The following is a 24,269-nucleotide window of genomic DNA, read 5'->3' as shown; positions in this document are numbered from 1 at the left end:
GGATCAGTGAAATTTCAGCTGACAGCATGCCTTGAGACCCATGGGATCATTGTGTGCTGCAGCGAGGCCCTGCCTGCCTCACCAGATGTGGTGAGCCCATCCTATCTCACTCGGTGGGGGCCAAAATCAGATCTGAAGGGGAGTCCTGAGAACACAGCAGGCGTCCTGAAGCTCCCCCTCCCTCCCTCGGTGGAAGTCGGCTCAAGGAGTTTCTGAGGACAGGACTCCTGGGGGTTTGGCCGTGGGACAGAAGAAGACACCCGCGGTCCCCTCTCCCACGCCGACCCAAACTGGAGCCCGGATCCAGCCGCCGCCGCGGCTGCAGCAGGAGCCTCCCTGCCGCCGCGCTGCGGTGGCGTTATTTAAAGGGGACGCAGCCTGACCGCCAGGAGCGGAGCGCCAGTCGGGTGGGCCAATGCGCATGCGCGAGGCGCGAGCGCCTTCTCCCGTCACAGTGGTTCCCACGGTTGTCTTAGAAACCAGTCCCCGAGGCTTGGCAAAGCAGGAGCGCTCCGTGGCAGTGCTTGTGTGTCGGGGCTCTGAGGCTCCGGCCTGACCTCTCCTCGGGGTCGACGGGAAGGTCTCCGGATGCCAGGACTCGCAAAGGGCCGACCAGAATGAGGAAATCCCAGGCGGAGTCCGGGGGAGGCAGCACGGCATCCCAGCCTCAGGGCTGCCCGGACGGTGTTGGTTGGGGTGAGTCTCGCCAAAAGTCGTGCCGCGGTGACCTCCAGGACAGGTCGGCCTGAGTACCCCTGCGGTGCTCCCTCACCCGAGTGTCGATCTCGTCAAGAGCAGAACCCCGAAGCCTCAGGGGTTGCCTTGGGGTGTGTGTTTCAATGCCTCTGCTCAAGGACTCTGTGTGTGTGTGTGTGTGTGTGTGTGTGTGTGTGTGTGTGTGTTTGTGTGTCCGTCTGTGAGTGTGTGTGTGTCTCCCATTCTCCCTTCTCTCTCTGTCTCTCAGTCTCTGTGTGTTTCTTTCCCCTCTGTCGGTTTGTGTGTGAGTGCCCATGTGCGTGTGTGTCTTTGGCCGAATGTGCCCTGTGCACCACAAAGCGGTTTCTCGCTTGGCGGCCTGTCTCCTTCTTGAGGGACATCCTCTCCTCTGCTCCTGGGTGGAAAGACTCCCTTGATCTTCCGTCTCAAACGAATGTCAGGGACCCAAAGGGACTTGGCTGGGGCTGGGGCTGTGGCTGTGGCTGGGGCTGGGTGCAGCCGAATTTGCCTCAGGGCTACCAGCGCGGTGGAGGGTTGGGGGTGGGGAGAATTTTGCAGAAACCTCTTTGCTCCTCTGGTAGGCATTTGAAAACGTGGCTTGGGTCAGGCACAGGCGCCCCCACCCGCCGGGTCCCAGGTGGTCTTCGATTTTCCTTTGCATTGATGGATAGGTCACTCGTTCCCCCCTTGCACCGGCACATGCCTGGACACCACCGTTTCTTTCGCTGTCGCCCGGTTTGCCTCCGGTGACACACGTTCACACCATCTGCTGTGGGATACGCCAGTGCCATTCGTGTTCACATGGTCTCCACCTCGCAATCTCCCCTGTTCTTGTTTGCACGAGTCCTGTAAAGCGCGGTCGGCTTTCCTGAGCCCCAGGGCTTTTAGAAGAGGGGTAGGCCACTGCTCTTTCAAAGGAGGAGGGAGGCAGAGGGTTGAAGGATCAGTGAATTTGCAGCGGACACTTGGCCTCGAGACCTATGGGATCATTCTTGGCTGCAGCGAGGCCCTGCCTGCCTCAGCGCATGTGGCGAGCCCATCCTATCTCACTCAGTGGGGGCCGAAATGGGATCTGAAGGGGTGTCCTGAGAACACAGCAGGCGTCCTGAAGCTCCCCCTCCCTCCCTCGGTGGAAGTCAGCTCAAGGAGTTCCTGAGGACAGGACTCCTGGGGGTTTGGCCCTGGGACAGGACAAGACACCCACGGTCCGGTCTCCCAAGCCGCCACAAACTGGAGCCCGGATCCAGCCGCCGCCGCGGCTGCAGCAGGAGGCTCGCTGCCGCCGCGCTGCGGTGGCGTTATTTAAAGGGGACGCAGCCTGACCGCCAGGAGCGGAGCGCCAGTCGGGCGGGCCAATGCGCATGCGCGAGGCGCGAGCCTCTTCTCCCGTCACAGTGGTTCCCACGGTTGTCTTAGAAACCAGTCCCCGAGGCTTGGCAAAGCAGGAGCCCTTCGTGGCAGTGCTTGTGTGTCGGAGCTCTGAGGCTCCGGCCTGACCTCTCCTCGGGGTCGACGGGAACGTCTCCGGATGCCAGGACTCGCAAAGGGCTGACAAGAATGAGGAAATCCCAGGCGGAGTCCGGGGGAGGCAGCACGGCATCCCAGCCTCAGGGCTGCCCGGACGGTGTTGGTTGGGGTGAGTCTCGCCAAAAGTCGTGCCGCCGTGACCTCGAGGACTGGTCGGCCTGAGTACCCCTGCGGTGCTCCCTCACCCGAGGGTCGATCTCGCCAAGAGCAGAACCCCGAAGCCTCAGGGGTTGCCTTAGGGTGTGTGTTTCAATGCCTCTGCTCAAGGACTCTGTGTGTGTGTGTGTGTGTGTGTGTGTGTGTGTGTGTGTGTGTGTGTGTGTGTGTGAGTGTTTGTGTGTCCGTCTGTGAGTGTGTGTGTGTGTCTCCCATTCTCCCTTCTCTCTCTGTCTCTCAGTCTCTGTGTGTTTCTTTCCCTCTGTCGGTTTGTGTGTGAGTGCCCATGTGCGTGTGTGTCTTTGGCCCAATGTGCCCTGTGTGCCACAAAGCGGTTTCTCGCTTGGCGGCCTGTCTACTTCTTGAGGGACATCCTCTCCTCTGCTCCTGGGTGGAAAGACTCCCTTGATCTTCTGTCCCAAATGAATGTCAGGGACCCAGAGGGACTTGGCTGGGGCTGGGGCTGTGGCTGTGGCTGGGGCTGGATGCAGCTGAAGTTGCCTCAGGGCTACCAGCCCGGTGGAGGGTTGGGAGAATTTTGCAGAAACCTCTTTGCTCCTCTGGTAGGCATTTGAAAATGTGGCTTGGGTCAGGAACAGGCGCCCCCACCCGCCGGGTCCCAGGTGTTCTTCGATTTTCCTTTGCATTGATGGATAGGTCACTCATTCCCCCTTTGCACCGGCACATGCCTGGACACCACCGTTTCTTTCGCCGTCGCCCCGTATGCCTCCGGTGATACACGTTCACACCATCTGCTGTGGGATACGCCAGTGCCTCGCATGTTCCCGTGGTCTCCACCTCGCATTCGCCCCTGTTCCTGTTTGCACGAGTCCTGTAAAGCGCGGTCGGCTTTCCTGAGCCCCAGGGCTTTTAGAAGCGGGGTATGCCACTGCTCTTTCAAAGGAGGAGGGAGGCAGAGGGTTGAATGATCAGTGAATTTGCAGCCGACACTTTGCCTCGAGACCTGTGGGATCATTCTTTGCTGCATGGAGGCCCTGCCTGCCCCAGCAGATGTGGCGAGCCCATCCTATGTCACTCGGTGGGGGCCTAAATCGGATCTGAAGGGGTGTCCTGAGAACACAGCAGGCGTCCTGAAGCTCCCTCTCCCTCCCTCCGTGGAAGTCAGCTCAAGGAGTTCCTGAGGACAGGATTCCTGGGGGTTTGGTCCTGGGACAGGACAAGACACCCACGGTCCCGTCTCCCACGCCGCCACAAACTGGAGCCCGGATCCAGGCCGCGGCTGCAGCGGGAACCTCGCTGCCCTGCGCTGCAGTAGCGTTATTTAAAGGGGATGCAGCCTGACTGCCAGAAGCGGAGCGCTAGTCAGGCCAGCCAATGCGCATGCGCGCGGCGCGAGCGACTTCTCCTGTCACAGTGGTTCCCACGGTTGTCTTAGAAACCAGTCCCTGAGGCTTGGCAAAGCAGGAGCCCTCCGTGGCAGTGCTTGTGTGTCGGGGCTCTGAGGCTCCGGCCTGACCTCTCCACAGGGTCGACGGGAACGTCTCTGGATGCCAGGAGACGCAAAGGGCCGACCAGAATGAGGAATTCCCAGGCGGAGTCCAGGGGAGGCAGCACGGCATCCCAGCCTCAGGGCTGCCCGGACGGTGTTGGTTGGGGTGAGTCTCGCCAAAAGTCATGCCGCCGTGATCTCGAGGACAGGTCGGCCTGAGTACCCCTGGGGTGTTCCCTCACCTGAGGGTCGATCTCATCAAGAGCAGAACCCCGAAGCCTCAAGGGTTGCCTTGGGGTGTGTGTTTCAATGCCTCTGCTCAGGGCCTCTGTGTGTGTGTGTGTGTGTGTGTGTGTGTGTGTGTTTGTGTGTTTGTGTTTCTGTGAGTGTGTGTGTGTCTCCCATTCTCTCTTCTCTCTCTGTCTCTCAGTCTCTGTGTGTTTCTTTCCTCTCTGTCGGTTTGTGTGTGAGTGCCCGTGTGCGTGTGTGTCTTTGGCCGAATGTGCCCTGTGCTCCACAAAGCGGTTTCTCGCATGGCCGCCTGTCTCCTTCTTGAGGGACATCCTCTCCTCTGCTCCTGGGTGGAAAGACTCCCTTGATCTTCTGTCCCAAACGAATGTCAGGGACCCAAAGGGACTGGGCTGGAGCTGGGACTGTGGCTGTGGCTGGGCTGGGTGCAGCCGAATTTGCCTCAGGGCTACCAGGGCGGTGGAGGGTTGGGGGTGGGGAGAATTTTGCAGAAACCTCTTTGCTACTCTGGTAGGCATTTGAAAACGTGGCTTGGGTCAGGTACTGGCGCCCCCATCCCCGGGTCCCAGATGTTCTTCGATTTTCCTTGGCATTGATGCAGGGGTCACTCATTCCCCCCTTCCACCGGCACATGCCTGGACACCACCATTTGTTTCGCCGTCGCCCCGTATGTCTCCGGTGACACACATTCTCACCATCTGCTGTGGGATACGCCAGTGCCACGCTTGGTCGCATTGTCTCCACCTCAGATTCGCCCTTGTTCCTGTTTTCAGGTGTCCTGTAAAGGGCGGTCTGCTTTCCGTAGCCCCAGGTCTTTTAGAAGCGGGTCAGGCCCCTGCTCTTTCAAAGGAGGAGGGAGGCAGAGGCCTGAGGGATCAATGAATTTGCAGCTGACACTAGGTCTTGAGACTTATGGGATCATTCTGTGCTGCAGCGAGGCGCTGCCTGCCTCACCAGATGTGGTGAGCCCATCCTATCTCACTCGGAGTGGGCCAAAATCGGATCTGAAGGGGAGTCCTGAGAACACAGCAGGCGTCCTGATGTCCCCCTCCCTCGGTGGAAGTCAGCTCAAGGTGGTCCTGAGGACAGGATTCCTCGGGGTTTGGCCCTGGGACACGACAAGACACCCGCGGCCCTCTCTCTCACGCCGCCCCAACTGGACCCCGGATCCAGCCACCGCGGCGGATGCAGCAGGAGCCTCGCTGCCCCAGCGCAGCGGCGGCGTTATTTAAAGGGGACGCAGCCTGCCTGTGAGGAGCGTAGCGCGAGTTGGCCCTGACAATGCGCATGCGCGAGGCGCGAGCTTCTTTTGCCCTCACAGTGGTTCCCACGGTTTTCTTAGAAACCACTCCCTGAGGCTTGGCAAAGCAGGAGCCCTCCGTGGCAGTGCTTGTGTGTCGGGGCTCTGAGGCTCTGGCCTGACCTCTCCACCGGGTCGACGGGAACGTCTCCGGATGCCAGGAGTCTCAAAGGGCCGACCAGGATGAGGAAACCCCAGGGGGAGTCCGGGGATAGCAGCACGGCATCCCAGCTTCAGGCCTGCCATGACGGTGTGGGTTGGGGTGAGTCTCCCCAAAAGTCGTGCCGCCGTCCGTGATCTCGACGACAGGTCGGCCTGCCTGCCCCTGGGGTGCTCTCTCACAGGAGGGTCGTTCTCGTCGAGAGCCGATCCCCGCAGACTCAGGGTTTGCCTGGGTGTGTGCGTTTCAATGCCTCTCCTGAATGACATTGTGTGTGTGTGTGTGTGTGTGTGTGTGTGTGTGTGTGTGTGTGTCTGTGTGTGTTTCTCCCATTCTCTCTTCTCTCTCTGTCTCTCAGTCTCTGTGTGTTTCTTTCCCTCTCTCAGTGGGTTGTGTGTGTGTGCCCGTGTGCGTGTGTGTCTTTGGCAGAATGTGCCCTGTGCGCCACAAAGCGGTTTCTCGCATGGCGGCCTGTCTTTGGTGACCCTCTTTCTGCGTCTCTGCCTTTGTCATGAGGCCGGTTGTCAATCGTTTTCGCCGCCCCGGATCCGCTTTGGGTGTGTGAAGTCCTGGCCTACGTGAAGAGATGCATGGGTCCGGGAGCAATTGAAATCTCATCCCCATCCTGAGCGGCCTCTCTCCTAAGATCAAAATGATCACACTGCAGCCGAGGACAAGAGCCCCACAGGAGCTCTTTGTCCCGCAGGAGAGCAGCGGACCCACGTCAGAGAAGATGCTTGTATCTTTTCACGGCTCTTCTCTGAGAAATGAAGCCACACCATGATACAGTCTGCAAGAGGAAGCCGGGAATGAGAGATGGCAACAATCCCTGTCACTGGAACGGTGACCTCGCTGGACAAGCCACCCTTTTGGAACCCCTCCCCTTATGCCTGTGGCGGTGGCATGGTGCTATATCCGGCCTGGGCTCCGGCCTCTGCTCTCTCCTCCCTCTTGCTCTGTCCTCCCTCTGCTCTGTTCTCCCTCTTGCTCCTTCTGCTCTGTCCTCCCTCTTGCTCTGCCTCCCCTGTCCTAGATGCCTCTCGCTCTGGCCACATGTCTTCCCTGTCCGTTAGGGACTTCCCAGTGCTTGACTTCCCAGTCTGTCCGGGAGACATTTCCTGGAGATCCCTGTTATGATTGTTTCTCTCTCCAAACCTCTTTCTGCTTGATTGGGCAGATCTCGTGACCGTGGAGCTCTTTGCTCCCATAAGTGTCTCAGACAGGAAAGCTTGCTTCTTCTCCATGTTTCCATTCATGGGTGGGTGGATTGCCTAGAATGAGCGCTAGGAGACCGGGACTGGCCTTGTCTTCTAGCACAGGTGGTGTCGCATTTCCTCTGCACTTCCTGTCTCATTCTCGAGGGACATCCTCTCCTCTTCTCATGGGTGGACTGTCTCCCTGGATCTTTTGGCCTTAACGAATGTCAGGGAAACAAGGGGACTGGGCTCGGTCTTGGGCTGGGGCTGGGGCTGGGGCTGGTGTTGGGGCTGGGGCTTGGTGCACAGGACGTTGTGTGAGGGCTACATGGGCGATGGAGCTTTGGCGTTGGGGTGAAATTTGCAGAACCCTCTTTGCTCCTCTGGCAGCAATTTCAAATTTTGTATCCGGTCAGTCACAAGCCCCCTCCTGGTTCCCAGGTGTTCTTTAAGTTTTCATTGCTGTGATGGAAATGTCACTTGTCCCCCCCTTCCACCGGGCACATGCTTAGACACCACCGTTTGTTTCGCCGTCGCCCCACATTCCTCTGGTTACACACATCCACGCCATCTGCTGTGGGATGGGCCACAGCCACACGTCATCGCATGGTCTCCACCTGGGATTCGCCCTTGTTCCTTTTTGCACGTGTCCTGTAAATTGCGGTTGGCTTCCGGAGCCCCATGGCTTTTAGAAGCCGGGCAGGCCAGTGCTCTTTCAAAGGAGAAGGGAGGCAGAGGGCTGATGGATCAGTGAATTTTCAGCTGACACCACGCCTTGAAACCCATGGGATCATTCTATGCTGCAGCGATGCCCTGCCTGCCTCAACAGATGTGGTGAGCCCATCCTATCTCACTCGGAGGGGGCCAAAATCGGATCTGAAGGGGAGTCCCGAGAACCCAGCAGACATCCTGTAGCTCTCCCTCCCTTGGTGGGAGTCGGCTCAAGGAGGTCCTGAGGACAGGACTTCTGGGGGTTTCGCCCTGGGACAGGACACCGGCCACAGCCTCTACCAGGCCGCTGCAAACTTTACCCTGGATCCAGTCGCTGCCGAGGCTGCAACAGGAGCCCATCTGCTACCGCGCAGTAGCCATTGTTTAAAGGGGCAGCTGCCTGCCGTCCAGCACCGGAGCTTTAGTCGGCCCAGCCAGTGTGCCTCCGCGTGGCTCTAGCTGATTGTCTCGTCACAGTGATTTCCACTGTTGTCTTAGTATCCAGTCCCTGAATTTTGGCATAGCAGGAGTTCTCCATGGCTGTGCTTCAGTGAAGGGGCTTCGTGCCTCCGGCCTGTCTTGCAGGAGTTTTAATATCCTTCCCATCCTGTGCTGCCTCCTTGCTAGGATCAAGACGACTGCACCCCAGCCAAGGACAAAGGCCTCAGAGGTGCTCATTGTCCACCTGCAGGAGTGTGCCCACAGAGCTTCAAGAAGATGGTTCTCACTCCTCTCGCCCTTTGCCCTCATTGAGAAAGCTACCCACAGCTATACACTGGGACGGAGAAGGAAGCTGGCTACAAGATGGGGCAAGCATGTCTGTCACTCAAACGCTGGCCTTCCTGGCCTAGTCACCCATTTGGCACATTTTCCCGGATGCCCGTGATAGTGGCATTGTGCTGTGGCATTGGCCTCTGCTCTGTCCTCCCTCTTGTTCTGTCTGCCCAGTTCCTGTGAAGCCTAGAGGCTTCTTAGTCTGGCTCAATGTCTTCAACAAAGAACACTTCTCAGTCCATTAGGAAGAAATTTCGTTGGGGTCCCTTTTATGATTGCTTCCCTCTCCAAACCTATTTCTGGATGATAGGGTGTCATGATCCTGGAGTTCTGGGCTTCCATACCTGTCTTGGACAGGGAAGCTCCCTTTGTCTGCATGTCCCAAGTGATGGCTTTGTGGTCCGTCCAGGAAGAGCGGGAGGCAACCCCACTGTGGCTGACCTTTGCCTTCTAGAAAAGTTAGTGTTGCATCCCACCTGCCCTTCCTCTCTCATTCCTGAGGGCCATTCCGTTCCTCTGCTCCTGGGGAAAGTGCCTCTAAGCACTGAATCTTTTGGCTGCCACGGATGTCAGGGAGCCAAAGGGACTGGGTTTTGCTGGGTGCAGGGGAGGTGGCGTCAGGGGTACCTACCGGTAGCGGGATGTCGGTATGGTGTCGTTTGTCGAAACCTCTTGGCCCCTCTGGCAGTCATCCCTGAATGTGGCTTGGACTCAGGCACAGGCCCTGTCTCACAGGTTTTCTAGTGTGCTTGGCTTTTCCTTGGCTTTGTGTGGGAGGTCCCAGTGACCCACCTGCGCACATCTGGACGTCACTATCCGTCTCAGCATCACCCCATATGGCCTCAAAGACCCACCCTGACTCCATCTGCTCTTGGGGAACATTAGTGCCACGTGTGGTCACATTGGCTCCATCTCGGACTCACCTCTGTCTCTCCTTGCACATGCTGCGGAAAGCAGTGTCGGGATGCCAGAGCCCCGAACCTTGGAGATGAAGTCAGGCCACTGCTCCACCTAGGAAGGAGGGAGGCAGTGGGCTCATGGGTCAGTGCATTTTCAGCTGACAGTTCACCTTGCAGCCCTTAGGATCTTTCTGTGCCCCAGCGAGACCCTTCCCGCCTCACTGCATTGTAACCCCATTCTTGATCACCCCGTGGGATCCATAGTCAGGTCGAAGAGGATTCCAGAGAGCCCAGCCGCACCCTGAAGCTCCTCCTCCACCGGTAACCGAAGCAGAAGACCGATCAAGAAGGTCCTGATGACAGGACCTCTATGGGTACAACCCTTGGGTCTCCCGCAGGACCCTATCGTAGTCCTCTTCCCACCCGCCGCCTCGGACTGCGCTGCCGCCGCCACCGCTGCCCCAGTCCCCTCAGCCGCGCGTCGCCGCCATTTTTTAAAGGATCCGCCGCCGGACTCTGCGGAGCAAGCGGGGATTCGGTCTCGCCAGTGCGCATGCGCAAGGCCTGAGCCTCCGCTTTGGTCGTAGTGATTGCCACTGTTGCCGTGGATGGGTCCCTGAGACTTTGCGAAGTAGGAGCCCTGTGTGATAGTGCGTCAGAGTCGGGCCTGAGAGCAGTCCTGGCCAGGGCTTTAACAGGATGGTCTCCGGAGCCTGGGATTCTCGGAGGGCTGACCACCAGGAAGAAACCTCAGAAGGTAGAAACCTCAGGCGGATCGCCGGGCGGCAGCGCGAGATCCCAGCCTCAGGCCCGGATTCGGGAAGGGTCGACGAAGCCCTTTTCCCAATCTTCACTTCACCCGCCGCCGCCCCAGTCCCCGCAGCCGCCGCTCCGCGGTCATTTTTCTTTTCTATCTTTTTTTTTTTAATAGTCGGAATCTCACTCTGTCACTCAGTCGAGTGCAGTGGCGGGATCTCAGCTGACTGCAAACTCTGCCGCCCAGGTTCAAGTGATTCTCTTGCCTCCGCCTCCCGAGTACCTGGTACTAGAGGGATTAGTCAGTGTCGGGGCTAAGACCAGTCCTGGCCAGGGCATCAACAGGATAGTCTCTGGAGGCCGGGATTCACGGAGGGTCGTCCAGGAGGAAGAAACTGCAGGTGGAGGGCCGGGCAAGCAGCGCGGGATCCCAGGTTCAGGCCTGCACGGACGGTGTGCCAGTGAGTCTCTTCAAAAAAGGAGAGGTTTGCTTGTGTGCCCGTGGGCTGCTCTCTCACTAGTGGGTTGTAGTCGTGGAGAGCAGAACCCTGAAAATTCAGGGGCTGCCTGGGTGTAGGTGTTACCGTGCCACTGCTGTATGTCTGTGCGTTTGTGTGTGTGCGTATGTCTCTCTCTTGTTTCTCTCTCTCCCTTTTCTCACTCTTTTGCTCTGTGTCCCTGTGTGCGTGTGTGTGTGTGTGTGTTGGGACATATGTGCCCTGTGCGCCAGAGGACGGTATCTTCTACGTCCGCCTTTCTTGTGGTCAGCCTCTCCCCGCGTCTCTGCCTGGCTTGCGTGGCCCGTTGTCAGTCATTTTTCTGGCGGTTCCAGTTTAGGTTTGTGAAGGTCCAGATGAGATGGGGAGCTGCGTCTCTCTCATAAGAATTTAAATCACCTCCCCACCCTGAGAGGCCTCTTTTCCAGGATAAAGGCCTCCACCCCCAAGCCAAGGATAATAGCCTCACCGGAGAGGTCATTGTCTACCTGCAGGAGCAGTGCAGAGCGACCTGAAAGAAGGTGGTTCTCATTCGTCTCTCTCTTTCATCTCCTTGAGAAATCTAGCCACAGGGTAACACAGGTTTTGAGAGGATGGGAACGGGACGTGGCAAGGATCTGTGAGTGTGCAGGCTGTGTTTCACATATCATTAAACATAGTCTAGTGAGGGTTCTGCAGATAACTGGCATTTAAGTTTGTTTTATTGAATCAAGGAAAAAGAAAAAATACTGAGAAAAAAATGACGCAACTTGCCTGCCAGCCCATCTGACTGTTACAAATTTAATAGTAATTTTAATTTATCATCTCATGTAAAGGTCCTTGGCAGTGATACCTAATTTCCTAAGATAGCCTTGCTTTATATTGTGTGATTAAGATGTCATGCATATCAGAGTATCTGGAAATTCTTCCCAACGTCCTTTACATACGTGATTAATCACATTTCCAAAATAACATACCAAAACGAATAACAGAAAATCATTTTAAGTTGTGGTTCCTTCATGCACAAAACATTTCATGTGTGTCTGGCCCTCTTCCGGCCACAGATTTCATCTTAACCTAAGTATTGAAATGCTTGTGCCCTTTGATTAATTTTTCTGTGTAAATACTTTGATAATAAGCTACATTGAGGCCGGGTGCAGTGGCTCACACCTCTCATCCCAGTTCTTTGGGAGGCTGAGGCCAGCGGATCACGAAGTCAGGAGATCAAGACCATCCTGGCCAACACAGTGAAACCCTGTCTCTTCAAATATACAAAGAATTAGCCAGGTAAGGCCAGGCTCTGGCTCATGCCTGTAATTCCACACTTTGGGAGGCTGAGGAGGGTGGATCACCTAAGGTCAGGAGTTTGAGACCAGTCTGCCCAACACGGTGAAACTCTGTTTCTACTAAAAATACAAAAAATTAGCTGGGTGTGGTGTCAGGTGACTGTAATCCCAGCTACTCGGGAGGTTGAGGCAGAAGAATCACTTGAACCCAGGAGGCGGAGGTTGCATTGAGCTGAGATCATGCCACTGCACCATCTGGCCTGGGGGACAAGAGTGAAACTCTGTCAAAAAAAAAAAAAAAACTGGTCTATACTGAAAATACAAAAATTAGACCCTGAAGGTCACGTCCAAATGAGAAAGACATTGTTTGGCTCAAATTGTCTGACACTAAGGAATAGTGCAGACTGGACAAGTGAGGTGGCTGACACCTGTAATCCCAGTACTTTCGGAGGCCGAGGCTGGTAGATCACCTGAGGTCAAGAGTTGGAGACCAGCCTGACCAACATCATGAAACTCCATCTCTACTAAAAAAAAGTACATGAAAATTAGCTGGCTATGATGGTGCATGCCTGTAAATCCCAGCTACTCAGGAGTCTGAGGCAGGAGACTTACTTGAAACTGGGTGGCGGAGGTTGTGGGGAGTGGAGATCACACCACTGCACTCCAGCCTGGGCAACAAGAGTGAAACTCTGTCTCAGAAAACAGAATAGTGCAGAGTAAGAGCAGATTTATATATGTATGTATGTATGTATGTATGTATGTATGTATGTATGTATGTATTTTCAGAGAAGCAGGGAATCTGGAATTTTGGGTGAAATGTCTGTTTCCAGAAGCTGAAAATGCTCTCAAATGGAAAATTCAGGTTAGCCTATATCAAGCTTCTCCTTGTTCTATGTGTGAAGACCATGGGACAGAGGGAGCAGCTTGAGCCAAGTCAGGATGGTAGGATGGGACAGGTGGCCAGGGCTGCTGCACTGGGGACCCTGGTGGAGGATTTCGCTGGAAACGCAGGTGGGACCAGACCATGAAGAGTCTCAAACACAGACTTGAGGACTCTGACCTTTATCCTGGGGGCAGCAAGAAGCCATGTTAGGTGAAGGAACAAGGCTGTTTCTCCCTCAGCACTAGTGCAAGGAAAGGCCAGGGAGGCCCTCAGTGGAAGCTTGCTGCTGGATTTGTTGATGTGCCTTTTCTCCTGCCTGCACTGGGGTCAGAATGGCCTTGGGTACTGCACACTTCCTACCAGGAATAGAAGGCCCCACAGCTATAGCACCTCTCTTCCTTTTAGTTCTTTGGAAGGATGAGCAAATTATTCACCCTCTCTGAGCCTCAGTTTTCTCATCCATAAAATGATGACAGTTCACCAACCTGGCAGGTCACAAGGATGTTATGAAATCAGGTGAGCACAGCATAGCAGGTGTATTTTTGGGTCCTATTATTACATGTGAACTAAATTGCCTTGTAGAAAAGGCACAGGCTCAGGGGACCTGTGTTTCAATCCCACTATGCCCCTGTAATGCCCACCTCTCAGGGATGATGGAAAGATTAAGTTCACGGAGATGATGCTTGTGCAGCATCTGATACCCAGCAGATACCTAAGAACCTAACCTACCACCCACCTGAGCAAGCACAACAGTCCTGCTCCTCCTGCAAGCACTGGGGATGCTGCCTCCCACCCGCCTTAGAACACTGCTCCTCCTCCCTCTCTGCAGGGGGCATTTTGTAGGCCTCAGTCGCTGGGCTTGCTGTCCTCTCACCTGCCTCTCAGCACGGGGCTCAGAGCACACATTCTTCACCTTTGCAAGAAGCTTCTCTACGCATCCTTGCCCCTAGGCTTGCTGAGTGCATTCACCTGTTGTCTTATTTATAATCAGGACAGAGTTGCTCCCTACTGTGTAGATGAGGAAATGGAGACCTAGAAAGGGAAGGAAAGACCAACACTTTGAGCACCTGCAATGTGCCTGAGGCAATGTACGCATTAGCTCTGCTTCACAGCAGCCCAAGAGGGAGGTATTATTCTTCCCCTGTGTAAATGTGGGTGTTGAGGCTCAGAGAAGGGCAGTGACTTGTCCAAGGTCACATAGCAAGCAACCGTCAGTGGCTGAGGGCTAACCCAGGTCTTTCTGACTTCAGAGTGTGGGATTTAGAACAAACATTTGCAACGTGAGATTGACAGATCCATCCCCCAGTGCCATTCCAAAGACCAGATGGGGTCATAAGTGTGTGAGTACCTGACATGGTGCCCAAGGACTGGGAGTAGAAGCAGAATCCCATCCACCTCCACCTAATCATACAGAGAAAGGAGACAGGAGCTGAGGGAGGGCAGTGCTATGTCCAAGCTCTCAGCAAGCAGTAGGCAGAGCCCAGGCCCCTGCTTTCCCATGCCCACCCCTTCCCAGTTCAGGGCAAGGCCACCTCTCCAGGGCCTTTCCCTCCCCTAGAGAGGAAACTCCCCAAGTTCCTCTGACCAGACAGGAGAGTGAACGAGAGAAGAAAATTCCACTTCAGCACACACACCTGGAGCCTGAGGCTGAAAGCTGGAATCCCAGACTTTGACACTCAAGAAGGCATCTCCACACTTTTTCAGCACCTCCACCTGGGACATTCATGAGCACCTGGCTTCCCTCCCAGGGGAGAGGGGTGTCCCAGAGACACTGGGGCCCTTAGAAGGCACTATGAGTTGGCAGTGACTGCAGCAGCGTGGTGGGATTGTGGGTGGTGTAGGAAGCAGGGGAAGCAGATCACAGCACTCAGGATGGCCAGAGCTGAAGGCATCAGAGTCCCCTGTCCTTGTTCTGCAAAAAAAAAAAAAAAAAAAAAACCCACGGCATATTCCCTTCCCACTCCACACCTCCCACGGTCAGCAGTAGGCCCCAGAGGAGGAGAAGCGAGGCCTCAGGAGGACAGCAGCCACTGCTGGCAAGACGTTGGTGTTCTCCTGTTGAACTGCACAGGTTGTCAGCATCAGACAAGGTCGCTCTGTGACCATGATGGGTCAAGACAAAGCAAGGTCACTTGGTAGCTATCATGGCTCAGCTCATGCAAAACATGGACAAAAATGACCTCACACCCCCTCCCCTGTGTCTATGTCATGACCACTACCTCTGTCAATTGCAGCGTTAGCTTTGGTCTTGTCTTCCTTCCTTCTAGGTAAGATTGGGGAAGATGCCAGGTGATAGAATCCACCCTGCCTCTGACAGCATCCAATCTGGAGCAAAGGCTTCTTTCAACCTTCCCCCAAGCTCCCAATACAAGCCCAAATTCTGGAACAAGTCCTTTCCAACACCTCCTTCAGAGAAGCTCCCTGGCTCCAGGCAGTGCTTGCTCCCCTCACTGCAGCAGGAAGCCTAACTTGCGAACTGCAGGTGTGCTCCAGGTGGTCACTGGATGCAAGGTATTGACAGATGGATCCCATTGATACCCCCACTGCATAACCATGTAAGCCTATCATCCCCCACTTGCACATGAGGAAACGGAGGTCCACAGGGTGGGGAAGGGAAGACATAATTTGTCCTTCAAATGCGATACCGGTGAGATGTGAGAGGCAGCATCCCTCATAACTCAGCAAGGCAGTGGGCACACTAGGACCCTCCCAGGCAGATCGGGTGCGTGGTCGCCCCCATTGCATAGCATGGGTGGGAGTTGGGGAGACCAGACATGGGTCTCACCACCTCTGCACTGGCCCGACCTCTCTGCAGGCCCCCAGGACAGGGTTAGCATCTGCTTGCTGGCAGGCCTGGCCACCAGAAGTATTTGCTTATGTCTAAGGTCCCTGTAGTTGTGGTTCACAGGATTGGGGCTGCTCCTGAGATTCAGCACCACACAGGCACTGCATGGAACTGTGCTATGGTGGTGGGCACTCGCTTTCCAGATAGGGCCCATGTTGCCAGCAGGCATGATGCATCATTTACCCTACCCTGAGTGCAATATGTGGTTTTATAGAAAAAAACTTGGGCCAGATGCGGTGGCTCACACCTGTAATCCCAGCAGTTTAGGAGGCCAAGGTAGGCGGATCAAAAGGTCAGGAACTCAAGACCAGCCTGGCTAATATAGTGAAACCTTGTCTCTATGAAAAATACAAGAATTAGCCAGATGTGGTGGTGGGCACCTGTAGTCCCAGCTACACCGGATACTCCGGAGGCTGAGGCAGGAGAATCGCTTGAACCCAGGAGGCAGAAGTTGCGGTGAGCCAAGATCATGCCACTGCACTCCAGCCTAGGCGACAGAGCAAAACTCCTTCTCAAAAAAAAAAAAAAAAAAAAAAAAAAGAAAGAAAAGGAAAAGTATTTGTAGATGAATGAAGGTGATTCCTTTGAATATTGAAAATGATTTTATTTTAGCCATTGGTCTGACACTCATTCCGATGGGGTGACATGTGTCCCTGCCTTAGTCATCAGAGCACAGGAGTTTGCTACACCTCCCCTCATCTGAAGATTCAGCCCATGAGCAGGAACGCCTGTCTTTGTGTCATACCAACAGAGAGGATGTGTCTGGTTTCACCATTCACTGCAGAGGCAGAAATTACCCAGAAAGAAGAGACAGTCTGTTCCCGGGAGTGTGTCCTTTTGACCCCGCATGGGGGTCATCTCCCTTCCTTGGCCAGGACCCCCAACCTGAACACAGAGGTAGAGAACATGTGAAGGGCTCCCATTCCCAGGTGGTCCAGGGTGCAAGCTCTGAGCCTGTGGTCCTGGTCACTGCCCTTTTCTCCACAGCATGGCAGTCACCATCCTGGGCTGGGGTACAGAGGGGCTTTGCAGAGATCAGCATAACAAAAGCATCACTGAGATGCTGCAATAGGAAACCGTGATACCTTCGTGGGCTGCCAAGGCAGCCTAAGCTATTTGTTGCTGCACTCAGTGTCCCCAGACAGCTGTGTGGCTGTCACTGCCTCTGATGTGTCCATTTTACTTCTCTTCTCCTGCCTCAGCTTCTGCTCTGAACTCTGTCTCTAACTTACAAGAAATCAAGCTCACTGGATTCTGAGCTCTTCGGGGTCAAGGACTGTGTCAGTAGTTCATGTCTCTTTCTAGAGATCACAGCTTAGTATCTGGCACAGAGCAGATACTCAGCCAATGCCAAATGATTCATTTGCCAGAAGGCTGAATATCATCCATAATCCTAGTCAATGCAAATACATTTTGCCGGTGGGGTGTGTTTGTCCTCTGAAGGCGTTTTCCCAGGCTTTGTAAATACATACAGGCCATTTAGAAATTTGAATGTCAAAGAGTAAAGGAGCTTAGAAAGTAAGCATTGGAGAAGTGTGGGAGGGTGGTATTATTTACAAAACATTCCTGGGTCCTTGTGAGTTCTATACACCCTTGATGAGCACTGATTCTGGGCCAGGCCAGACACCCAGCTGGACCCAGGAGATACTGAGGTGAGTAAAGCCAAAATGCCTCCATTCAGCAGGAGGCGGGCAGTCACACCAAAGTGATAAAGGCACAAAATGCAGAGGCAGCAGAGGAGCAATGACTACCTTGTTCCAGGACTCTGTGACCTCAGGGAGAGCTTTCAGAGGAGGACATCTGTGCAAGGCTTGGAAGGATGAACACAAATTTGCCTAGCAGAAAAGGGAGCCAAGCAAATCCTGATGGAGAACAGCTTGGGTGAGAGTGTGAGCCACAGGATTGAGGGGCTCAGGCATGTAACTGGAGGAGCAGAAAGAATGAGGGGAGATAAAGTTGGGAGGTCAGCAGAGGTCAGTCACAGAAGGTTTTGAATCCTGGTGAGGAAGCAATGGGTGCTGCACAAGGGACATGGGCCTGGAGGAGATGCAGTTAGCTCTGAGTGAAGATGGAGCATGCCATCCACCAGGGAACCACAAGATGCAATAGAAATAAGAACCCTGAGAAGCCTGCACAAAGAATGAGGGGCCCAGGGGTAGCACCAAGAAGGTCCCTGTCAGAGGCCAGCTTTGAACGGAGACAGAAAAGACTCTTGAGGGCCTCAGCTGCTGCAAACCTCCTCAATAAATCATATTTTACCTTCCAATATTTGCTAAAGAATACTAACTATTGGAAGAGCAATGGCCCATTGATAATAATTATTCCCTCAATGTACATTTTTTACAATTCTCAAAATGCTCTCGGTCCAGTCTCTCATTGGAACCCCCATAAAATCCCATTTTACAAATAGGGAAATGAGGCCCTGTGATGTCACACCGAGGTTTGCAGCAGTTCCAGGATAGAAAATAGGAAGCACTTTCATCTCAGCCCTGGGTATAAGTCTCAAAATTCCTTTTCGGGGAGGGGATCCTTGAGGCCATCCAGCAGCCCATAGTCCAAGTCTTTTTCTTCCTCCTTGGGCTTCTCCACACCTGTATCCAAAGCTTCCTTCTCCTCCTTTGTTCTCAGGTACCACTACCAGTTGTTGGGCAGGGAGACCTCCTGCTGCTGCCCATCCTATGTTGCATCCTCCAACATGGGTGCACTGTGGTTCAGCCAGCACCTATACCACCTGCAGCCCAGGGCTCCTGTGGTGGGCCTGAGGTTCCTCCCTATCAAATGGAGATATGCTGGGGTTGCTGCCTTTGCTGAAGCCCATGTCCAGGTCATCTTGGGGGTGGCCAAGGTTACAGGGTCCTGGGGACAGGCCAGAGGGCTGCAGGAGCAAAAACCAAGAGGATGAGGGGATCTGTGAGACAGACCGCCTGAATCCACATCCTAGAGACTAGGTGCAAGGCCTGGGGAAGACTGGTTCACCTCTCTGGGCGTCAGTTTCCTCCCCTGTAAAGTGGGAGTTATAACAGATTCACTCCTACAGTTGTCTCTGAGCTTTATGGCAGGTAATGTGTGCAAAGTACTTCGCACAAGGCCTGGCACATGGTAGGTGATAAATAATAAACAGGGTTACTATGATATCATCATCTGAGCTAGGTCACTCATGCACTTCTCCAATGCTTCAGGGTGCCCCTCCATCCCTCACAGGGTAGCAGCAAGTGCTACCCCAGCAGGATGTGATAAGGAAGTCAGGCGGTTGGGGAGGATGTTTCTCGCAGCCCAAACCCCAGTGGAATGTTTCCCTCTGAACAGGGTCTGTGAAATGGTGGGGGCTTACAAATCGGTGCAGCTTGGACTAACAGGCTCCGGCGGCCACTTTGTTTTCTGGACATGCTTTGGACTGTGAGCCGAGCCTCTATGAATCATCACTTCAGCCTCTGATTGGTCCTGGGCCAAACTTTCACTTCAGCCCCTGATTGGTCTTGGGCCAAAATTTCACTTCAGCCTCTGATTGGTCCCAGGCTAAGGTCCCGGGCCAAGCGAAGTCGTGCTATCTCCAAGACAGCTCACAGACCAGTGAGCACATTCTTCCTCTTCCCAGTTCACAAAACCCCCAGATTCAGCCTCCTAGTTGGCAACCCTCTTTCGGGTCCCCTCTCTGCTGGGGAGAGCTTTCTTCTTTTGCTTATTAAACTTCTGTTCCAAACTCATTCTTTGTGTCCACGTTCCTTAATATTCTTGGCTGTGAGAGAAAGAAGGCAAAGACAAGAGCCTTTATCCTAACAACTCAATTGTTGGAGAGAAGATTCATGCATATTCTATGTGGCATCACACGCCATAGCCCTGGGATTGAAAGCCATGCAGTTTAAGGGATGGTGTTAATCTCAGTCCAAATAGGTAATAAGATCTTTCACGTTGCTATATTTTAGGGGTAGGAATGAGATTGGGGGTTTGATCAATAGTTTGTACCCATAGGACCAGGGATTTGCCCAGTCATCTGTGAGTAAATGCTTGGGCCAGTTTCCATGCCTGTATTGAATTAAATACTCATACGGTTCTGTGATTTTGTCAAATACAAATTTGGTCTTTGTCCCTATTTCCTGGCATACAACTCCTAAAATCCTTGGAATGTCCTAAGGGCTTGCTGTTTTTTTTTTTTTTTTTTTTTTTTTTTTTTTTTTTTTTTGAAACGGAGTCTTGCTCTGTAACCCAGGCTGGAGTGCAGTGGCGCAATCTCCACTCACTGCAACCTCTGCCTCCCGGGTTCAAGCAATTCTTCTGCTTCAGCCTTCCGAGTGGACTACAGGCATGTGCCACCATGCCCGGCTAATTTTTGTCTTTGTTTTCTTCTTTAGTAGAGACGGGGTTTCACCATATTGGCCAGTCTGGTCTCGAACTCCTAACCTCAAGTGATCTGCCTGCCTCGGGCTCCCAAAGTGTTGGGATTACAGGCGTGAGCCACCGCACCCAGGCTTTGGCTTTTTATATGTTAGTGATTGACCGATAGCTTCAGGATGTGGACTGGTCATCAGAAAGACCAAGGCAGGATTAGAGGGTTGGGACTTTCAGCCCCTACCCTCCCACCCCTGGGGAGTGGAGGGGACTGAGGATTAAGTTGATGGCAAGTGGCTAATGGTTTAATCAATCATGCATATGTAATGAGGCCACCTTACAAACCCCAAAGGAGTGGATTCGGAGAGCTTCCAGAGAGCTGAACACATGGAGGTTCCTGGAGGGTTGTGCCCAGGGAGGGGATGGAAGCTCTGTGCCCCTTCCCCCATACCTCGTGCTAGGCATCTCTTCATCTATATCCTTTGGAATATCCTTATAATCAAATAGTAAATGTGTTTCCGTGAGGTTTGTGAGCCATTTTATTCTAGCAAATTAATCAAACCAAAGAGGAGGTCATAGGAACCCCAAATTAAACCCATCAGTCAGAAGTTCCAGAGGCTGGGACTTGTGACTGGTGTCTGAAAGGGGGGCAGTTTTGGGGGCTGAGCCCTCAATCTGTGAGGTGACACTGTCTTATGGCAGATAGTGTCAGAATCGAATTGGTGGACACCCAGCTGGTGTCTGCTGCAGAACTGATTCCTTGCTTGGTGAAAGGGAGAAATCGCCTCATATTTTGAGGCCACAGAAGTCTTCTGGGTAGATTGTTGTGTTTTTGGTGTGAAGCAGAGGAAGAACACAGGTTGAGTTTTTTCCAAATGGGTTCACATTGGGGGTCCTCAACCTCAAATCCATCAACTCCATCGCTGAATTTTTATTTATGTATTTATTTTTATTTATGAGGTAGAGTCTCACTCTGTCTCCCAGGCTGGAGTTCAGTGGCACGATCTCAGCTCATTGCAGCCTTGATCTCCTATGCCCAAGAGATCCTTCTACCTCAGCCTGCCAAATAAGCTGAAACCAGAGGCACACACTAGCACTATGGTGTAATTAAAAATAATTTACAGTAGAGAAGAAGACTCACTATGTTGTCTGGGCTGGTCTTGAACTCCTGAGTTCAAGTGATCCTCCCCCTCTGCCTCCAAAGTGCTATGATTACAGGCATGAGCTGCCTCACCTATCACTGATTTTCTTTTTCTTTCTTTCTTTCTTTCTCTTTCTTTCTTTCTTTCTTTTTTTTTTTTTTGACAGAGTCTCACTCTGCCTTGCCTAGGCTGAACTGCAGTGGTGCAATCTTGGTTCACTGCAGCCTCCACCTCCCAGATTCAAGCGATTCTCCTGTCTCAGCCTCCTGAATAGTTGGGATTACACGTGCCCGCCACCACACCAGACCAATTTTTGTATTTTTAGTAGAGACAGGGTTTCACCGTATTGGCCAGGCTGGTCACGAACTCCTGATCTCAGGTGATCTACCTGCCTTGGCCTCCAAAAGTGCAGTGGCAGGGTCAGGGCATACTGCAGCCTTGACCTCTGGGGCTGAAGGGATCCTCCCTCCTCAGCCTCCCAAGTATCTGGAGTATAGGCATATGGCACCATGCCAGGCTAATATTTGTAATTTTTGCACAGACGGGGTTTTGCCATGTTGCCCAGTCTGGTCTTGAACTCCTGAGCTCCAACAATCTTCCCACCTGAGCCTCCCAAAGTTCTGGGATTACAGGGAAGAGCCACTGCACCCGGCCTATCACTGCATTTTTAAAGGGAAGGAGGACTATAGTGAGATTCACTAAGGCTTACAGAAAAGGTAGAACCCCAGATAGATTTAAAGACAGAGATTATAATATTCTTGAGATGATAATATCCAAATTTAGCTTTCATAGATAGGGAAATTTGAAGTACATCAGACTATAAGTTGGCATTTTGTGCAACTAATTAAAACTACGTTTGAAAGAGAGCAATTGCATATTTGTTACTGAGTAATATTAAGCAACCATGAAAATAAATAGAAATAACCAAGAAATTGTTATATTTAAATCCTCCCTCCTTTTTTGGAAAGAGAAGTATTGATATTTTTGGATTCTAATCAAAACTTCTCTTTTAAAATAAAATTGATGATTCTATGGAGATAGGGAGGGAATAACCTATGTTTATTGAACACCTAATATTCCACTTACCCAAATGTCATTTATTCTATATTCTAGGTTTTTGTTGAGACAGGGTCTTTCTTGCTCTGTTACCAAGCCTAGAGTGCAGTGGGGTGGTCACAGCTCACAGAGGTATACCACCATGCCTGGCATTTTATTTTATTTTATTATTTTAATTATTTTATTTTATTATTATTTTATTTTATTTTATTTTATTTTATTTTATTTTATTTTATTTTATTTTATTTTAATTTTTGCAGAGACGGTGTCTCCCTATATTTCCCAGGCTTGACTTGAACTTCTGGGATCAAGCAATCCTCCTGCCTTGGCATCCCAAAGTGCTGGGATTATACGCATAAGCCACTGTGTTCAGCCAATATTATAGTCTTGATAGTAGAAGTGTCTCAGTGTACTGGAAAACTTTGTCTAAATTTTGAAAAAATATTACAAAACACGTTGGTTTTATTTGGCCAATACTGATTTCTTTGCTCCATCATTATTTATTGGCATTATTAGCCTGTTGACTTTCAATTTCCTTACATCCCTTTCACTCCATTTCTTTTGTTTTGCACCCCAAATAGAAACTCTTTTTTTTTTTTAGATGGATTCTCGCTCTTGGCTCTTGTGACCCAGGCTAGAGTGCAGTGGTGCAGTCTTATCACTGTAATCTTCACCTTCCAGGTTCAGGCAATTCTCCTGCCTCAGCCTCCCAAGTAGCCTAGATTACAGGCATGCGCCACTACACCCTGCTAATTTTTTGTATTCTTTTTTTTTTTTCTTGAGATGCAGTTTCACTCTTGTTGCCCAGGCTGGAGTGCAATGGCATGAACTCTGCTCACTGCAACTTCTGCCTCCCAGGTTCAAGTGATTCTCCTGCTTCAGCCTCCCAAGTAGCTGGGATTAGAGGGTGAGCCACCACACCCGACTAATTTTTGTATTTTTAGTAGAGACAGGGTTTTGCCATGTTGGACAGTCTGGTCTGGAACTCCTGATCTCAAGTCATCCACCTGCCTTGGCCTCCCAAAGCGCTGAGATTACAGGCATGAGCCACTGTGTCCAGCTTTTTTGTATTTTTATATTTATTTATATTTTGATAGACAGTCTGGCTCTGTTGCCCAGGCTGGAGTGCAGTGGCACAGTCTCGGCTCACTGCAACCTCCGCCTCCCAGGCTGAAGTGATTCTCCTGCCTCTGACTCCCCAGTAGCTGGTATTACAGGCACCTGCTACCACACCTGGCTACCTTTTGTATTTTAATTAGAGACAGGGTTTCACCATGTTGGCCAGGCTGGTCTTGAACTCCTGACCTCAGGTGATCTGCCCACCTTGGCCTCCCAAAGTGGCCTTGCTTGAGGCCAGGAGTTTGAGACCAGCCTGGCCAACATGGTAAAACCTGCTCTTTACCAAAAATACAAAAAAAAAATTAGCCAGGTATGGTGGTGTGTGCCTGTATTCCAAGCTACTTTAATGGTTGAGTCACAAAAAACACTTGAACCCAGGAGGCAGAGGTTGCAGTGAGCTGTGATCACCTCACTGCACTGTAGCCTGGGTAACAGATTGAGACTTGTCTCAAGAAAAAAAAAATTCTTGGCAGGACGTGGTGGCTCACACCTGTACTCCCAGCATTTTGGGAGGCCAAGGTGGGTTGATCACCTGAGGTCAGGAGTTTGAGACCAGCCTGACTAACATGGAGAAACTCTGTCTCTCCTAAAAATACAAAATTAGCTGGGCGTGGTGCTGCGTGCCTGTAATCCCAGCTACTCAGGAGGGTGAGGCAGGAGAATCGCTTGAACCCAGGAGGCAGAAGTTGCAGTGAGCCGAGATCACACCACTGCACTCCAGCCTGGGCAACAAGAGCAAAACTCCGTCTCAAAAAAAGAAAAAAAAATCTTTACTTTGGATAAATACTTAGAAATGGAATTTCCAGGTCGGCCTTTAGATATTATTAATGGATTTAATATGAAAAACCTTTACTTGAGGATGTATAAAGCTTTAAAAGACAGGGTCCCTATTCTTAAGTTATAAGTAAAGCAGCATTTGTAAGGTAATATTCAGAAAACATCAGATAATATCCTATAAAGTCCTCCTGTTCTTGCTGATGACATTGGATGGCCAGTTAAGGATGACACTTCATTCTGTCCTCTGCAACCACGGTCCTGACATGTCTAAATGATACTTGCCCTATGAGAACACTGTGGATGTGAAAGCATTTCCTCAGGTTATCTTTTTGACCTGCTGGTTTTAATCTAATGATGGGATATCCAAAGTGAATCTAACTGAGTGACATGATTGTGGATCTGTTGGGGGGAATCAGAGACAGCTAGAGCAAGGGCAGACACGTGCTGAACTCATCTGTCTTAAG

General features: G+C 52.2%; 1 long non-coding RNA gene and 1 pseudogene across 1 annotated transcript, besides 8 other annotated features; one reads left to right on the top strand and one right to left on the bottom strand.

Moving 5' to 3' along the window:
- Window positions 508–557: an enhancer, noted in NCBI's record as "active region_17679". NCBI's record gives its function as "activates an Ori minimal core promoter by ATAC-STARR-seq in GM12878 lymphoblastoid cells {active_cell/tissue: GM12878}" and the evidence as "EXISTENCE:reporter gene assay evidence [ECO:0000049][PMID:35858748]".
- Window positions 668–737: an enhancer, noted in NCBI's record as "active region_17678". NCBI's record gives its function as "activates an Ori minimal core promoter by ATAC-STARR-seq in GM12878 lymphoblastoid cells {active_cell/tissue: GM12878}" and the evidence as "EXISTENCE:reporter gene assay evidence [ECO:0000049][PMID:35858748]".
- Window positions 1,734–1,783: an enhancer, noted in NCBI's record as "active region_17677". NCBI's record gives its function as "activates an Ori minimal core promoter by ATAC-STARR-seq in GM12878 lymphoblastoid cells {active_cell/tissue: GM12878}" and the evidence as "EXISTENCE:reporter gene assay evidence [ECO:0000049][PMID:35858748]".
- Window positions 1,894–1,943: an enhancer, noted in NCBI's record as "active region_17676". NCBI's record gives its function as "activates an Ori minimal core promoter by ATAC-STARR-seq in GM12878 lymphoblastoid cells {active_cell/tissue: GM12878}" and the evidence as "EXISTENCE:reporter gene assay evidence [ECO:0000049][PMID:35858748]".
- Window positions 9,735–19,089, top strand: LOC101926935 (uncharacterized). The gene is made up of 3 exons (NR_110001.1): window positions 9,735–11,658; window positions 12,444–12,519; window positions 14,808–19,089. It is a non-coding gene; the product is annotated as an uncharacterized LOC101926935 (long non-coding RNA).
- Window positions 13,294–13,818: an enhancer, noted in NCBI's record as "NANOG hESC enhancer chr20:25830574-25831098 (GRCh37/hg19 assembly coordinates)". NCBI's record gives its function as "activates a minimal SCP1, AML or CMV promoter by ChIP-STARR-seq in naive H9 embryonic stem cells {active_cell/tissue: H9 hESC(naive)}" and the evidence as "EXISTENCE:reporter gene assay evidence [ECO:0000049][PMID:30033119]".
- Window positions 15,280–15,780: an enhancer, noted in NCBI's record as "H3K4me1 hESC enhancer chr20:25828612-25829112 (GRCh37/hg19 assembly coordinates)". NCBI's record gives its function as "activates a minimal SCP1, AML or CMV promoter by ChIP-STARR-seq in primed H9 embryonic stem cells {active_cell/tissue: H9 hESC(primed)}" and the evidence as "EXISTENCE:reporter gene assay evidence [ECO:0000049][PMID:30033119]".
- Window positions 16,196–16,697: an enhancer, noted in NCBI's record as "OCT4 hESC enhancer chr20:25827695-25828196 (GRCh37/hg19 assembly coordinates)". NCBI's record gives its function as "activates a minimal SCP1, AML or CMV promoter by ChIP-STARR-seq in primed H9 embryonic stem cells {active_cell/tissue: H9 hESC(primed)}" and the evidence as "EXISTENCE:reporter gene assay evidence [ECO:0000049][PMID:30033119]".
- Window positions 16,903–17,413: an enhancer, noted in NCBI's record as "H3K4me1 hESC enhancer chr20:25826979-25827489 (GRCh37/hg19 assembly coordinates)". NCBI's record gives its function as "activates a minimal SCP1, AML or CMV promoter by ChIP-STARR-seq in naive H9 embryonic stem cells {active_cell/tissue: H9 hESC(naive)}" and the evidence as "EXISTENCE:reporter gene assay evidence [ECO:0000049][PMID:30033119]".
- BSNDP2 (BSND pseudogene 2) lies at window positions 17,891–18,535 on the bottom strand (annotated as a pseudogene).
- Window positions 19,090–24,269: the final 5,180 nt, after the last annotated feature.

This window comes from Homo sapiens, chromosome 20, assembly GCF_000001405.40.
Source record: "Homo sapiens chromosome 20, GRCh38.p14 Primary Assembly".
Lineage (NCBI taxonomy): Eukaryota > Metazoa > Chordata > Mammalia > Primates > Hominidae > Homo > Homo sapiens.
This window is presented reverse-complemented; position numbering and strand designations above follow the sequence as displayed.